Source organism: Homo sapiens, chromosome 19, assembly GCF_000001405.40.
Source record: "Homo sapiens chromosome 19, GRCh38.p14 Primary Assembly".
Taxonomy (NCBI): Eukaryota; Metazoa; Chordata; class Mammalia; order Primates; family Hominidae; genus Homo; species Homo sapiens.
Window position 1 is genome coordinate 27,849,620 of NC_000019.10, and position 17,038 is coordinate 27,866,657.

The following is a 17,038-nucleotide window of genomic DNA, read 5'->3' on the forward strand; positions in this document are numbered from 1 at the left end:
GGGCACACCATCATATAGAATTAGGATATTTCATGTTTTAATAGTGTTAATTTGGTTAGCATTAGCATAAGCACAGGCTACTAGGAGCCCTAAGTAGGTGTCTACAGCAGTACATATATATTGGCACCCTTTAGAAAGTGGCAAGGGACAAATATAGTCCATTTGACAAATTTGTCCTGGCATTTTTCCCCGGTGAATGTGCCCCATAGCCCTTTGAGGAATTGGCTTGGTTTTTAACTGTTGGCATGTAGTGCATTGGGATAAAATTGTCTGAACTGCATCCTGGGGTAACATCCTTCTTTACACTCCCCAAGCCATGGTTCCCTGTACGCCTAGGTGTCCGCACTGGTGATGCACCCATTGTGTGATTGCAGCCCAATCTACTTCTTCCAGGTCTGAGTCGGCAGTAATAGTAGAAATTTTAGCTTGTTGGTCTGCCTGCTGATTAGTCTGTCAAGAGAAAGCAAAAAGGCATGAACATCAACATGGAAAACAGTGATAATGGTAGTGTGCACCAGAATCCAGATATCTACCCAGTATTGTTTTCCCCTGGGGTTTAGGGGGTGGAGTGGGGCTAGAAAGTCAGTCCCCTACCTTTGCTAGCTCAGCAACGACATCTGCCGCCCCCCGGACCCCTTGCTTACCCTAACAGATCCCCCATCTCCACCGCCTTGGAGGTTGACCTCTTACTTTGCTTTCTGTTTTTCTTCCTTTCTTGGGCTTGAGCAGGGGGTGCAGGGGCGAGGGTGTGTGTGGGGAAGGGGTGTGGGGTGAGGAGGGAGGGGAGTGTCCTAAGAATCAATTTAGTGTCATGCCTCTTTCATCACCACCACCACTGAAGATGAAACCAACAATAAACTAAATAACTGCATTCTCATCTATAGCCTTCCACCTGCTTGGGCGGTCCGAACTGGAGTTGTGATTTTTTTCCCCCTTCGCTCCTGAGGCCTCCCTCTGTAGGAAAGTTTCACCCTGGCTGGGTCTCAACCAGTGGACTTCGTGGTTTGGGTGAATGAGGGCAGCACCCCTGCTTGGTGTCCAGCCACTCTGGTTCCCGCCTCCTCCTCCTACACCATGGAGGGCTCATCCTCGGGCTGGGATGGGGTTCTGGGAGCATGTTGGGGACAGCTGAGGCAGTCCTTTACCAGGGGTGGCCGCGTGGGCCCAGGGGCGGGGTGGGGGGGGCTTTCTGAGTTCCAGATCTCCTCTGCACTGCGGCAGGGTGTGGGCACACTGGGACTTGGGCCACTCTTGTGCACCCTTCCTCCACTTTCTGTTGCCCAGGTCTACCAGGGTGGGGGAAGGGAGCGATGGGGAGGTCCCGTATGACTTCTGGTCCCAAGTGTCCCACTACCCTCCACCCTCAGCATCCGGCCTGCTGGCCGCTCCTCTGTCAGGTCTCCGGGTCAACTAGATGTCGGCCACGAACGCCAGACTTAGCCTCCGGCTCGCCATGTTTGAGGTCGACCAGCAGGCCCTCTCACCGGAGTGAGCTGTAAGGAGGGATGCTCAGTGAACCAATCAAGACGTGGGCCACGGAGGTCAGCAGGGCTCTGGGCAATTCATGGTCCTGACCTGGCAAGCACCACTCTGGGACCTGAGCGTTGCAAACCCATCTACACCCGTCCAACCTGTGTTGGCCGGCGCTCCTCGCTCGCTCAGGCCTCCGGGTTGACAAGAGTTCAGCCGTGAGCGCCTGGTTTAGCCGCCAGCTTACAGTGTCGGAGGTCAAACAGCAAGCCCTCCCCCGGAGTAAGCAGTGAGAAGGGAAGCCCGGCGGACCGAGTGCAACACGGGCTGCAGCGGGGAGCTGGGTTCGGGACGGGTCAGAGTCCTGACCATGCTGGTATGGCTCCAGGCCCTGAGCATCCCACACCCAGCCACCATCGATGGACTGGCCATTCCTCAGTCACTGAGGCCTCCGGGTCAACCAGATGCCAGCCACGCCTGACTTAGCCGCTGGCTTGCTGTGTCCGAGGTCGACCAGCAGGTCTTCTCATCAGAGCACTGGGGAGGGAAGCCCACTGGACCAAGTGAGATGCCCTTTGAGGGGTGAGCCAGGCTCAGGATGGGTCAGGGTCTTGAAAGTCCTGGCCCCGAGTGTCCCACACCCGGCCACCTTCACCCACCAGCTGCTCCTCACTCCCTCGGGCCTCTGGGTCATCACGATGTTGACTGCCAGCACCGTACATGGCCACTGGCTCACCTTGTCTGAGGTCGACCAGCAGGCCCTTTCACAGGAGCTGCAGTGGGGAGGGAAGCTTGCTCTGGACCCTGTGTGGAACAGCTGTCAGCCGCGGGTGCCATACTTAGCCACTGGCCCGTGTCTGAGGTCATTTTAAGGGCGAGACTCCTGGTCTAACTCAGGTATTGTAAGGGGAGAGACACCTGGCCAACCTCAGGCATTCTAATGGGAAAGATGCCTGGACCACCACAGCCATTATAAGGGGAGGGTTTCCTAGATGAACTCAGGCATTCTGAAGTGAGAGTCTCCTGGCTGACCTCAGGCATTGAGTGGTGAGATACCTGGACTACCTCAGAAATTCTAAGGGGAGAGTCTCCTGGTTGACGTCAGGCATTCTAACAGTAGAGACTACTGGCTGACCTCAGGCATTCTGTGGGGAGCGACTCCTGGCCAACCTCAAGCATTCTAAGAGGATAGTCTTCTGGCCGACCTCAAGCATTCCAATGGGAGAGACACCAGGCCAGCCTCAGGTATTCTAAAAGGAGTGATTCTGGGTCAACCTCAGGCATTCTGAGAAGAGGGTCTACTGGCCAATCTCAGGCATTCTATGTGGAGAGAAACATGGCTGACCTTAGGAATTATAAGGGGAGAGAAATCTGGCCAACATTAAGAATTCTAGTGGAAGAAACGCCTGACCAATCTTAGGCATTTTAATTGGAGAGACATCTGTACGAACTTATTCATTCTAAAAAGAGAGACCCCTGGCTGACCACATTCTTTCTCATGAAACACCTGGCCGACCTCAGACATTCTATGGGGAGAGTCTCATGGCCGACCACATGCATTCTAATAAAGTAGACACGTGGACCACTTCAAGAATTCCACTGGGGACACACTGTTCCAAGATGGATGAATAGGAAGAGCTCCGGTCTGCAGCTCCCAGCATGATTGACACAGAAGACAAGTGATCTCTGCATTTCCAACTGAGGTACCTGGTTCATCTCATTGGTACTGGTTGGACAGTGGGTACAGCCCACGGAGGGCAAGTCAAAGCAGCTTGGGGCATCGCCTCACCCATGAAATGCAAGGGCCTGGGGGATTTCCCTTTCCTAGCCAAGGGAAGCCATGACAGACTATACCGGGAAAATCAGGACACTGCCACCTAAATACTGTACTTTTCCAACAGTCTTAGCAAATGACACACCAGGAGATTACATCCTGTGCCTGGCGCAGGAGGTCCCACACCCAAGGAGCCTTGCTCACTGCTAGTGCAGCAGTCCCAGATCGAACTGCAAGGCAGCAAGCCTGGCTGGGGGAGGGGCTTCCGACATTGCTGAGGCTTGAGTAGGTAAACAAAGCAGCCGAGAAGCTCGAACTGGGTGGAGCCCACCACAGGTCAGTGAGGCCTGCCTGCCTCTGTAGACTCCATCTCTGGGGGCAGGGCATAGCTGAACAAAAGGCAGCAGAAACATCTGCAGACTTAAACATCACTGTCTGACAGCTCCGAAGAGAGCAGTGGTTCCCCAGCATGGCGTCTGAGCTCTGAGAACTGACAGACTGCCTCCTCAAGTGGGTCCCTGACCCCCATGTAGCCTAACTTGGAGACACCACCCAGTAGGGGCCAAGTGATACCTCATACAGCTGGGTGCCCCTCTGGAATGAAGCTTCCAGAGCAAGGATCAGGTAGCAATATTTGCTGTTCTGCAGCCTCCACTGGTGATACCCAGGCAAACAGGTTCTGGAGTGGACCTCCAGCAAACTCCAACAAACCTGCAGCTGAGGGACATGACTGCTAGAAGGAAAACTAACAAAGAGAAAGGAACAGCATCAACATCAACAAAAACGACATCTACACCAAAACCCCATCTGTTGGTCACCATCATCAAAGACCAAAGGTAGATAAAACCACAAAGATGGGGAGAAACCAGAACAGACAAGCTGAAAATTCTAAAAACCAGAGTACCCCTTCTCCTCCAAAGGATTGCAGCTCCTCGCCAGCAATGGAACAAAGCTGGACAGAGAATAACTTTGACGAGTTGACAGAAGTAGGCTTCAGAATGTCAGTAATAACAAACTTCTCTGAGCTAAAGGAGGATGTTTGAACCTATTGCAAGGAAGCTACAAACCTAGAAAAAAGATTAGATGAATGGCTAACTAGATTAAACAGTGTACAGAAGACCTTAGATGACCTGATGGCACTGAAAACCATGGCACAAGAACTATGTGATGCATGCACAAGCTTCAGTAGCCGATTTGAACAAGTGGAAGAAACGGTATCAGTGATTGAAGATCAAACTAATGAAATGAAGTGAGAAGTTTAGAGAAAAAAAGAGTAAAAAGAAATGAACAAAGCCTCCAAGAAATATGGATTATGTGAAAAGACCAAATCTATGTTTGATTGGTGTACCTGAAAGTGACAGGGAGAAGGAACCAAGCTGGAAAACATTCTTCAGGATATCATCCAGGAGAACTTCCCCAACCTAGCAAGACAGGCCAACATTCAAATTCAGGAAACACAGAAAATGCCACAAAGATACTCCTTGAGAAGAGTAACTCCAAGACACATAATTGCCAGATTCACCAAAGTTGAAATGAAGGAAAAAATGTTAAGGGCAGCCAGAGAGAAATGTCGAGTTACCCACAAAGGGAAGCCCATCAGACTAACAGCTGATCTCTCAGCAGAAACTGTACAAGCCAGAAGAGAGTGGGGGCCAATATTCAACATTCTTAAAGAAAATAATTTTTAACCCAGAATTTCATATCCAGCCAAACTAAGCTTCATAAGTGAAGGAGAAATAAAATCCTTTACAGACAAACAAATACTGAGAGATTTTTTCACCACCAGGCCTGCCTTACAAGAGCTCCTGAAGGAAGCACTAAACATGGAAAGAATCAACTGGTACCAGCCACTGCAAAAACATGCCAAATTGTAAATACCATCTATGCTAGGAAGAAACTGCATCAACTAATGGACAAAATAGCCAGCTAACATCATAATGACAGGATCAAATTCACATGTAACAATATTAACCTGAAATGTAAATGGACTAAATGCCTCAATTAAAAGACACAGACAGGCAAATTGGATAAACAGTCAAGACCCACCAGTGTTCTGTATTCAGAAGACCCATCTCACAGGCAGAGACACACATAGGCTCAAAATAAACACATGGAGGAATATCTACCAAGGAAATGGAAAGCAAAAAAAAAGCAAGTGTTGCAATCCTAGTCTCTGATAAAACAGACTTTAAACCAACAAAGATCAAAAGAGACAAGGCCATTACATAATGGTAAAGGGATCAATTCAACAAGAAGAGCTAACTATATATGCACCCAATACGGGATCACCCAGATTTATAAAGCAAGTCCTTAGAGCCCTACAAAGAGACTTAGACTCCCACACAATAATAATGGGAGAGTTTAACACCCCACTGTCAATATTAGACACATCAAGGAGACAGAAGGTTAACAAGGATATCCAGGACTTGAACTCAACTCTGCACCAAGCAGACCTAATAGAAATCTACAGAACTCTCCACCCCAAATCAACAGAATATACATCATTCTCAGCACTACATCACACTTATTCCAAAACTGACCACATAATTGGAAGTAAAGCACTCCTCAGGAAATGTAAAATAACAGAAATCACAACAAACTCTCAGACCACAGTGCAATCAAATTAGAACTCAGGATGAAGAAACTCACTCAAAACTGCACAACTACATGGAAACTGAACAACCTGCTCATGGATGACTACTGGGTACATAACGAAATGAAGGCAGAAATAAAGATGTTCTTTGAAACCAATAAGAACAAAGACACAACATACCAGAATCTCTGGGACACATTTAAGGCAGTGTGTAGAGGGAAATTTATAGCACTAAATGCCCAGAAGAGAAAGCAGGAAAGATCTAAAATTGACACCCTAACATCACAATGAAAATAACCAGAGAGGCCAGAGCAAACAAATTCAAAAGCTAGCAGAAGGCAAGAAACAATTAAGATCAGAGTAGAACTGAAGGAGATAGAGACATAAAAACCCTTCAAAAAATCAGTGAATCCAGAAGCTGTTTTTTGAAAAGATCAACAAAATTGATAGACCACTAGCAAGACAAATAAAGAAGAAAAGAGAGAAGAATCAAATAGACACAATAAAAAATGATAAAGGGGATATCACCACCGATCCCACAGAAATACAAACTACCATCAGAGAACACTATAAACACCTCTACTCAAATAAACTAGAAAATCTAGAAGAAATGGATAAATTCCTGGAAAAATACACCCTCCCAAGGCTAAACCAGGAAGAAGTTGAATCGCTGAATAGACTAATAACAGGCTCTGAAATTGAGGCAACAATTAATAACCTACCAACCAAAAAAATTCCAGGACCAGATGGATTCACAGCTGAATTCTACCAGAGGTACAAAGAGGAGGTGGTACCATCACTTCTGAAACTATTCCAATCAATAGAAAAAGAGGGAATCCTCTCTAACTCATTTTATGAGACCAGCATCATCCTGATAACAAAGCCTTGCAGAGACACAACAAACAAAGAGAATTTTAGACCAATATCCCTGATGAACATTGATGCAAAAATCCCCAATAAAATACTGGCAAACCAAATCCAGCAGCACATCAAAAAGCTTATCCACCAAGATGAAGTTGATTTCATCCCTGGGGTGCAAGGCTATTTCAACATATGCAAATCAATAAACGTAATCCGTCACATAAACAGAACCGAAGACAAAAACCACATGATTATCTCAATATGTGCAAAAAAGGTTTTGACAAAAGTCAACAGCCCTTCATGCTAAAAACTCCCAATAAACTAGGTATTGATGGAACATATCTGAAAATAAGAGCTATTTATGACAAACCCACAGCCAATATCATACTGAATGGGCAAAAACTGGAAGCATTCCCTTTGAAAACTGTCACAAGAAAAGGATGCCCTCTCTCACCACTCCTATTTAACATAGTGTTGGAAGTTCTGGCCAGGGCAATCAGGCAAGATAAAGAAATAAAGTGTATTCCATCAGGAAAAGAGGAAGCCAATTGTCCCTGTTTGCAGATGACATGATTGTATATTTAGAAAACCCCATCGTCTCAGCCGAAAATCTTAAGCTGATAAGCAACTTCAGCAAAGTCTCAGGATACAAAATCAATGTACAAAAATCACAAGCATTCTTACACACCAATAACAGACAAACAGAGAAACAAATCATGAATGAACTCCCATTCACAATTGCTACAAAGAGAATAAAATACCTAGGAGTCCAACTTACAAAGGATGTGAAGGACCTCTTCAAGGAGAACTACAAACCACTGCTTAATAAAACGAAAGAGGACACAAACAAAAGGAAGGATATTCCATGCTCATGGATAGGAATAATCAATATTGTGAAAATGGCCATACTACCCAAGGTAATTTATAGATTCAATGCCTCCCCAGTCAAGCTACCAATGACTTTCTTCACAGAATTGGAAAAAACTACTTTAAAGTTCATATGGAACCAAAAAAAGAGCCTGCATTACCAAGTCAATCCTAAGCCAAAAGAACAAAGCTGGAGGCATCACGCTACCTGACTTCAAACTATACTAAAAGGCTACAGTAACCAAAACAGCATGGTTCTCATAACAAAACAGAGATATACACTAATGGAACAGAACAGAAGCCTCAGAAATAACACCACACATCTACAATCATCTGATCTTTAAAAACCTGACAGAAACAAGACATGGGGAAAAGATTTCCTATTTAATAAATGGTGCTGGGAAAACTGGCTAGCCATATGTAGAAAGCTGAAACTGGATGCCTTATTTACACTTTATACAAAAATTGATTCTACATGGATTAAAGACTTAAATGTTAGACCTAAAACCATAAAAATCCCTAGAAGAAAACCTAGGCAATATCATTCAGGACATAGGCATGGGCAAGTACTTCATGACTAAAACACCAAAAGCAATGGCAACAAAAGCCAAAATAGACACATGGCATCTAATTAAACTAAAGAGCTTTTGCACAGCAAACGAAACTACCATGAGAGTGAACAGGCAACCTACAGAATGGGAGAAAATTTTTGCAATCTACTCATCTGATAAAGGGCTAATATCCAGAATATACAAGGAACTCAAACAAATTTACAAGAAAAACCAAACAACCCCATCAAAAAGTGGGCAAAGGATATGAACAGATACTTTTCAAAAGAAGACGTTTATGCAACCAACAGACACATGAGAAAATACTCATCATCACTGGCCATCAGAGAAATGCAACTCAAAACCACAATGAGATACCATCTCACACCAGTTAGAATGGCAATCATTAAAAAGTCAGGAAACAACAGGTGCTGGAGAGGATTTGGAGAAATAGGAACACTTTTACATTGTTAGTGGGACTGTAAACTAGTTCAATCATGTGGAAGACAGTGTGGTGATTCCTCAAGTATTTAGAACTAGAAATACAATTTGACCCAGCCATCCCATTACTGGGTATATACCTGAAGGATTATAAATCATGCTACTATAAAGACACATGTATATGTATGTTTATTGCAGCACTATTCACAACAGCAAAGACTTGGAACCAAACCAAATGTCCATCAATGATAGACTAGATTAAGCAAATGAGGCACATATACACCACGGAATACTGTGCAGCCATAAAAAAATGATGAGTTCATGTCCTTTGTAGGGACATGGATGAAGCCAGAAACCATCATTCTGAGCAAACTACCACAAGGACAGGAAACCAAACACCGCATATTTTCACTCATAGGTGGGAATTTAACAATGAGAACACTTGGACACAAGGCAGGGAACATCACACACTGGGTCCTGTCGTGGAGTGGGAGTTGGAGGAGGGATAGCATTAGGAGGAATACCTAATGTAAATGGTGAGTTAATGGGTGCAAGAAACGAACACGGCACAATTATACAAGCACATGTATACATATGTAACAAATCTGCACGTTGTGCAAATGTACTCTAGAACTTAAAGTATAATTTAAAAAAAGAGGGAGAGAAAAAAAGAAAGTTACTCTGAAAAAAAAAGAATTCCATTGGGAGATCATCATGGCTGACCACAGACATTCTAATGGGAGAGATACCTGGCCAACTGCAGGCATTCTAACAGGGGAGACACCTAACTGAACTCAGGCATTCTAAAGGGAGAAAAACCTGGCCAGCCACATTCATTCTAACAGGAGTGACACCTGGCCGACCTCAGGCATTCTGGGAGAGAGACATTTGGCCGACCTCATTTATTCTAAACAGAAAGACGTGTGGCCGACTTTAGGAATTTTAACAAAAGAGACACCTGGCCTACCTCAGGCATTATAACACAAGAGACACTCCTGGCTGACCTCAGGCATTCTAATGAGAGTGACACCTGGCTGACCTCATTCATTTTACCTGGAGAGACTCCTGGCCAAATTTGGGCATTCTAATGGGAAAGACACCTTGCTGATCTCTGGCATTCTAATGGGAGAGACAGCTGGCGGCTTCATTCTAACAGGAGAGACACCTGGCCAACCACAAACATTCTAAGGAGAGAGACACCTGGCCAACCTCAGGCATTTTAACAAGAGAGACAACTGGTCGACCTCAGGCATTCCAAGAGGAGGATCTCTTGGCTGTACTCAGGCATTCTGATTGGAGAGACTCCTGGCCGATCTCAGGAATTCTAATAGAAGAGACACCAGGCTGACCTCATTCATTCTAATGGGATTAACTCCTGCCCAACCTCAGGCATTCTAACAGAGAAACCTGGGCAACCGCAGGCATTCTAAGGGGAGAGCCTCCTGGCTAACCTCAGGCATTCTATGGGAAGAGACCCCTGGCAGAACTCAAGCATTCTAATGGAAGAGACTCCTTGTCAACCTCAGGCATTCTAAAAGGAGAGTCTCCTGGTTGTCCTCAGGCATTCTAACTGGAGAGACGACTGGCCGACCTCAGGAAGTCTTGGGAGAGACTTCCTGCTGACTTCAGACATTCTAATGGGAGAGAATCCTGGCTGACCTCAGGCATCCTAAGGGAAGAGACACCTGGCCGACCTCAGGCATTGTAATGGGAGAGACACCTGGCTAACCTCAGGCATTCTAAGGGAAGGGACTCCTGGCTGACCTCAAGAATTCTGAGTGGAGAAACATCTGCCCTACATCTGGCATTCTAAAGGGAGGGACTCCTGGCCGACCTCAGGCATTCTAACGATAGACTCCTGGCTGACCTGAGACATTCTGAGAGGAGAGACTCCTGGCCGAGCTCAGGCATTCTAAGGGGAGAGACTCCTGACCGACCTCAGGTATTCTGAGTGGAGAGACACATGTCATATATCAGGCATTCTAAGGGGAGAATCTCCTGGTAAATCTCAGGCATTCTAATGGTAGAGACTCCTGGCTAACCTCAGACATTCTGAAGTGAGAGACTCCTGGCCGACCTCAGACATTCTAATGGGAGAGACACCTAGCTGACCTCGGGCATTCTAAGGGGAGAGACATCTGGCCAACCTGATTCATTCTAATGGTAGAGACACCTGGCCGAACACAGGCATTCTAAGGGGAGAGCCACCTGGCCGACCACAGGCATTTTAAGGAGAAAGATACCTGGCCGACCTCAGGCATTCTAACGAGTGTGTCTCCTGGCCGACCTCAGGCATTCTGACGAGGGACAACTGGCCAACCTCAGGGATTCCAACAGGGCAGACACAACGTTGACGTCATTCATCCTAACTGGTGAAACTCCTGTCAAACCTCAGGCATTCTAATGAAAGAGACACCTGGCCAACCTCAGACATTCTAACACAAGAGACACTTGGCCAACCTTAGGCATTCTAAGGGGAGAGTCTCCTGGCCAATCCCAGGCACTTGAGAGAAACAGCTGGCTGACCTCAGGCATTCTAATGGGAGTGAGTCCTAGCTGACCTCAGGCATTCTAAGAAGACATGCTCCTGGCCGAATTCAGGCATTGAAATGGGAGAGATTCCTGGCTGTCCTCCGGTATGCTAAGGGGAGAAAGACCTGGCTGACCTCAGGCATTCTAAGGGGAGAAACACCCGGCTGACATCAGGCATTCTAATGGGAGAGACATCTGGCTGAACTCAAGGATTCTAATGGGAGAGACAGCTGGCCAATCTCTGACATTCAAACAGGAGGATCTCCTGTCCGACCTCACACATTCTGAGTTGAGAGATACCTGACCAACCTCAGGTCTTCTAAAGAAAGAGACACCTGGCCGACCTCAAGCATTCTAATGGGAGAGACACCTGGCCAACCTCATTCATTCTACTGGAAGAGATACCTGGCCAACCTCAGGCATTCTAAGAGGAGAGATACCTGGCCGACCTGTTCATACTAAGAGGAGAGATTCCTGGCTTACCACAACCATTCTCACAGGAGAGTCCTGGCCGATCTCAGGCATTCTAATGGGAGAAACTCCTGGTTGAATTCAGGCTTTCTAATGGGGAGACATCAAGCCAACTTCATTCTTTGTAATGGCAGATACACCTGGCCGATCTCAAACATTCTAGTGAAAGAGACACCTGGCTGACCTCAGGCATTGTAAGGGGAGGGGTCCCTGGCCGACATCAGGTATTCTGAGTGGAAAGACACCTGCCCTATCTCAGGCATTCTAAGGGGAGTCTCCTGGTCGACCACAGGCATTCTAACCATAGAGAGTCTTTGTCGACCTCAGGCATTCTGAGAGGAGAGTCTCCTGGCCAATCTGATTCATTCTGATGGGACAGACACCTGTCTGACCACAGATATTCTAAGGGGAGAAACACTGGCCAAACACAGGCATTCTAATGAGAAAGACACCTGGCCAACCTCAGGCATTCAAAGGGAGAGTCTCCTGGTGGACCTCATTCATTTTGATGGGAGAGACACCAGGCTGACCTCATTTATCTTAATGGTAGGCACCTGTCCGACCATCGTCATTCTAATGGGAGAGACTCCTGGCCGACCTCAGGCATTCTAACATGAGACACCTGGCCGACCTCAGGCATTCTAAAGGGAGTGTCTCCTAGGCGATCACAGCCATTCTATGGGTAGAGACACCTGGTCTACCTCAGGGATTCTAATGAGAGAAACAACTGGCCAACCTCAGGTTTTCTAACAGAGACTCTTGGCCAACTTCGGGCATTCAAAAGATTGAGACTACTGGCCAACCTCAGGCATTCTAATGGGGGAGAAATGTGGCAGACCTCAGGCATTCTAACGTGAGAGTCTTCTGGATGACCTCAGGCATTCTAAGGGGAGAGACACCTGGCCAACCTCAGGCATTATAATGGAAAGGACTCCTGGCCTAACTCAGGGATTCTAATGGGAGAGACAGCCAGATGATCTCCATCATTCTAAGGGGAGGAACTCCTGGCTGACATCAGGCATTCTGAGGGGAGAGTCTCCTGTCCAAATTCAGGCATTCTGAGTGGATAGACACCTGACCAACATCAGGCATCTAAGGATAGGGACACCTGGCTGAACTCAAGCATTCTAAGGGGAGAGACACCTGGTTGACCTCATTCATTCTATTGAAAGAGATACCTGGCCAACCTCAGGTATTATAAGGGGAGAGACGCATGGCTGACCTCATCCATACTAAGAGGAAAGGCTCCTGGCTTACCTCAAGTATTCTTTTTTTATTTTTTTTTCCTTTTTTCATATATATATATATATATATATATATATATATATATATTTTTTTTTATTATACTTTAAGTTCTAGGGTACATGTGCACAACCTGCAGGTTTGTTACATATATATACATGTGCCATGTTGGTATGCTGCACCCATTAACTCGTCATTTACATTAGGTATATCTCCTAATGCTATCCCTCCCCCCTCCTCCCACCCCATAACAGGCCCCGGTGTGTGATGTTCCCCTTACTGTGTCCAAGTGTTCTCATTGTTCAATTCCCACCTATGAGTGAGAACATGCGGTGTTTGGTTTTTTGTCCTTGCAATAGTTTGCTGAGAATTATGGTTTCCAGCTTCATCCATGTCCCTACAAAGGACATGAAGTCATCATTTTTTATGGCTACATAGTATTCCATGGTGTATATGTGCCACATTTTCTTAATCTAGTCTATCATTGTTGGACATTTGGGTTGGTTCCAAGTCTTTGCTATTGTGAATAGTGCTGCAATAAACATACGTGTGCATGTGTCTTTATAGCAGCATGATTTATATTCCTTTGGGTATATACTCAGTAATGGGATGGCTGGGTCAAATGGTATTTCTAGTTCTAGATCCCTGAGGAATCGCCACACTGTCTTCCACAATGGTTAAACTAGTTTACAGTCCCACCAGCAGTGTAAAAGTGTTCCTATTTCTCTAAATCCTCTCCAGCACCTGTTACTTCCTGACTTTTTAATGATTGTCATTCTAACTGGTGCGAGATGATATCTCATTGTGGTTTTGATTTGCATTTCTCTGATGGCCAGTGATGATGAGCATTTTTTCATGTGTCTGTTGGCTGCATAAATGTCTTCATTTGAGAAGTGTCTGTTCGTATCCTTTGCCCACTTTTTGATGGGGTTGTTTGTTTTTTTCTTGTAAACTTGTTTGAGTTCTTTGTAGATTCTGGATATTAGACCTTTGTCAGATGGGTAGATTGCAAAAATTTTCTCCCATTCTGTAGGTTGCCTGTTCACTCTGATGGTAGTTTCTTTTGCTGTGCAGAAGCTCTTTAGTTTAATTAGATCCCATTTGTCAATTTTGGCTTTTGTTGCCTTTGCTTTTGGTGTTTTAGACATGAAGTCCTTGCCCATGCCTATGTCGTGAATGGTATTGCCTAGGTTTTCTTCTAGGGTTTTTATGGTTTCAGTTCCAAAATTTAAGTCTTTAATCCATCTTGAATTAATTTTTGTATAAAGTGTAAGGAAGGGATCCAGTTTCAGCTTTCTACATATGGCTAGCCAGTTTTCCCAGCACCATTTGTTAAATAGAGAATTGTTTCCCCATTTCTTGTTTTTGTCAGGTTTGTCAAAGCTCAGATAGTTGTAGGTGTGTGGTATTATTTCTGAGGCCTCTGTTCTGTTCCATTGGTCTATATCTCTGTTTTGGTACCAGTACCATGCTGTTTTGGTTACCGTAGCCTTGTAGTATAGTTTGAAGTCAGGTAGCGTGATGCCTCCAGCTTTGTTCTTTTGGCTTAGGATTGACTTGGTAATGCAGGCTCTTTTTTGGTTCCATATGAGCTTTAAAGTAGTTTTTTTCCAATTCTGTGAAGAAAGTCATTGGTAGCTTGATGGGGATGGCATTGAATCTATAAATTACCTTGGGCAGTATGGCCATTTTCAAAATATTGATTCTTCCTATCCGTGAGTATGGAATGTTCTTCCATTTGTTTGTGTCCTCTTTCATTTTATTAAGCAGTGGTTTGTAGTTCTCCTTGAAAAGGTCCTTCATATCCCTTGTAAGTTGGATTCCTAGGTATTTTATTCTCTTTGAAGCAATTGTGAATGGGAGTTCACTCATGATTTGGCTCTCCGTTTGTCTGTTATTGGTGTGTAGGAAAGCTTGTGATTTTTGCACATTGATTTTGTATCCTGAGACTTTGCTGAAGTTGCTTATCAGCTTAAGGAGATTTTCGGCTGAGACGATGGGGTTTTCTAGATATACAATCATGTCATCTGCAAACAGGGACAATTTGACTTCCTCTTTTCCTAATTGAATACACTTTATTTCTTTCTCCTGCCTGATTGCCCTGGCCAGAACTTCCAACACTATGTTCAATAGGAGTGGTGAGAGAGGGCATCCCTGTCTTGTGCCAGTTTTCAAAGGGAATGCTTCCAGTTTTTGCCCATTCAGTATGATATTGGCTGTGGGTTTGTCATAAATAGCTCTTATTATTTTGAGATACATCCCATCAATACCTACTTTATTGAGAGTTTTTAGCATGAAGGGCTGTTGAATTTTGCTGAAGGCCTTTCCTGCATCTATTGAGATAATCATGTGGTTTTCATCTTTGGTTCTGTTATATACTGGATTACGTTTATTGATTTGCGTATGTTGAACCAGCCTTGCATCCCAGGGATGAAGCCCACTTGAACATGGTGGATAAGCTTTGTGATGTGCTGCTGGATTCTGTTTGCCAGTGTTTTATTGAGGATTTTTGCATCGATGTTCATCAGGGATATTGGTCTAAAATTCTCTTTTTTGGTTGTGTCTCTGCCAGGCTTTGGTATCAGGATGATGCTGGCCTCACAGCATGAGTTAAGGATGATTCCCTCTTTTTCTATTGATTGGAATAGTTTCAGAAGGAATGGTACCAGCTCCTCCTTGTACCTCTGGTAGAATTCGGCTGTGAATCCGTCTGGTCCTGGACTTTTTTTGATTGATAAGCTATTAATTATTTCTTCAATTTTGGAGCCTGTTATTGGTCTATTCAGAGATTCAACTTCTTCCTGGTTTAGCCTTGGGAGGGTGTATGTGTCGAAGAATTTATCCATTTCTTCTCGATTTTCTAGTTTATTTGCATAGAGGTGTTTATAGTATTCTCTGATGGTAGTTTGTATTCCTGTGGTATCAGTGGTGATATCCCCTTTATCATTTTTTATTGCATCTATTTGATTCTTCTCTCTTTTCTTCTTTATTAGTCTTGCTAGCGGTCTATCAATTTTGTTGATCTTTAAAAAAAAAACAGCTCCTGGATTCATTGATTTTTTGAAGGGGTTTTTGTGTCTCTATCTCCTTCAGTTCTGCTCTGATCTTAGTTATTTCTCGCCTTCTGCTAGCTTTTGAATGTGTTTGCTCTTGCTTCTCTAGTTCTTTTAATTGTGATGTTAGGGTGTCAATTTTAGATCTTTCCTGCTTTCTCTTGTGGGCATTTAGTGCTATAAATTACCCTCTACACACTGCTTTAAATGTGTCCCAGAGATTCTGGCATGTTGTGTCTTTGTTCTCGTTGGTTTCAAAGAACATCTTTATTTCTGCCTTCATTTCGTTATGTACCCAGTAGTCATTCAGGAGCAGGTTGTTCAGTTTCCATGTAGCTGAGCGGTTTTGAGTGAGTTTCTTAATCCTGATTTCTAGTTTGATTGCACTGTGGTCAGAGAGACAGTTTGTTATAATTTCTATTATTTTACTTTTGCTGCGGAGTGTTTTACTTCCAACTATGTGGTCAATTTTGGAATAGGTGTTTACCTCAAGCATTCTAAGGGAAAAGTCTGGCCAACATCACATGTTCTAAGGGGAGAGACATCTGGCAGACTTCAGGAACTCTAATAGGAGAGACACATGGGTGACCTCAGGCATTCTAATGGGAAAGACACCTGGTCCACCTCAGGCATTCTAAGGGGTAGGACTCCAGGCCAACCTCAGGCATTCTGAGTGGAGAGACACCTGGCTGACCTCAGGCATTCTAACAGAAGAGACAGCTGGCCAACCTCATTCGTTCTAATGGGAGATATACCTAGACAACCACAGGCATTCTAAAGGGAGAGACACCTGGCTGGCCTTATTTATTCATTGTAATGGGAGAGAAACCTCGCTGACCTCATTCATTGTAATGGGAGACACAATTGACTAACTGCAGGCATATTTAACAGGAGAGACATCTGGCCGACCTCAGGCATCCTAAGGGGAGAGGCACCTGACCTACCTCAATCATCCTAACAGAATTGACACCTGTCTGGCCTCAGGCATTCTAATAGGAGAGAAACCTGGCCGACCTCAGGAATTCTAAGGGGAAAGACACATGGCCAACCTCAGGCATTCTAACAGGTGAGACACCTGGCCCACCAAAGGCATTGTAATTATAGAGACACTTGGCTGACCTCAGGCTTTCCAAGGGGAGGGACACCTGTATGGCCGGATGGCCTCATTCATTCTAATGGGGTGACA

At 44.9% G+C, this 17,038-nt stretch overlaps 2 long non-coding RNA genes across 4 annotated transcripts in view; one reads left to right on the forward strand and one right to left on the reverse strand.

The window, feature by feature from the left end:
• The window catches only part of LINC02987 (long intergenic non-protein coding RNA 2987), a 231,539-nt gene that overhangs the window by 56,189 nt on the left and 158,312 nt on the right, over nt 1-17,038 (forward strand). The window lies entirely within an intron of this gene.
• LOC105372348 (uncharacterized) lies at nt 16-11,837 on the reverse strand. The gene is made up of 3 exons (XR_935885.3): nt 11,570-11,837; nt 2,207-2,274; nt 16-450 (listed from the first exon to the last, which is right to left on the reverse strand). It is a non-coding gene; the product is annotated as an uncharacterized LOC105372348 (long non-coding RNA).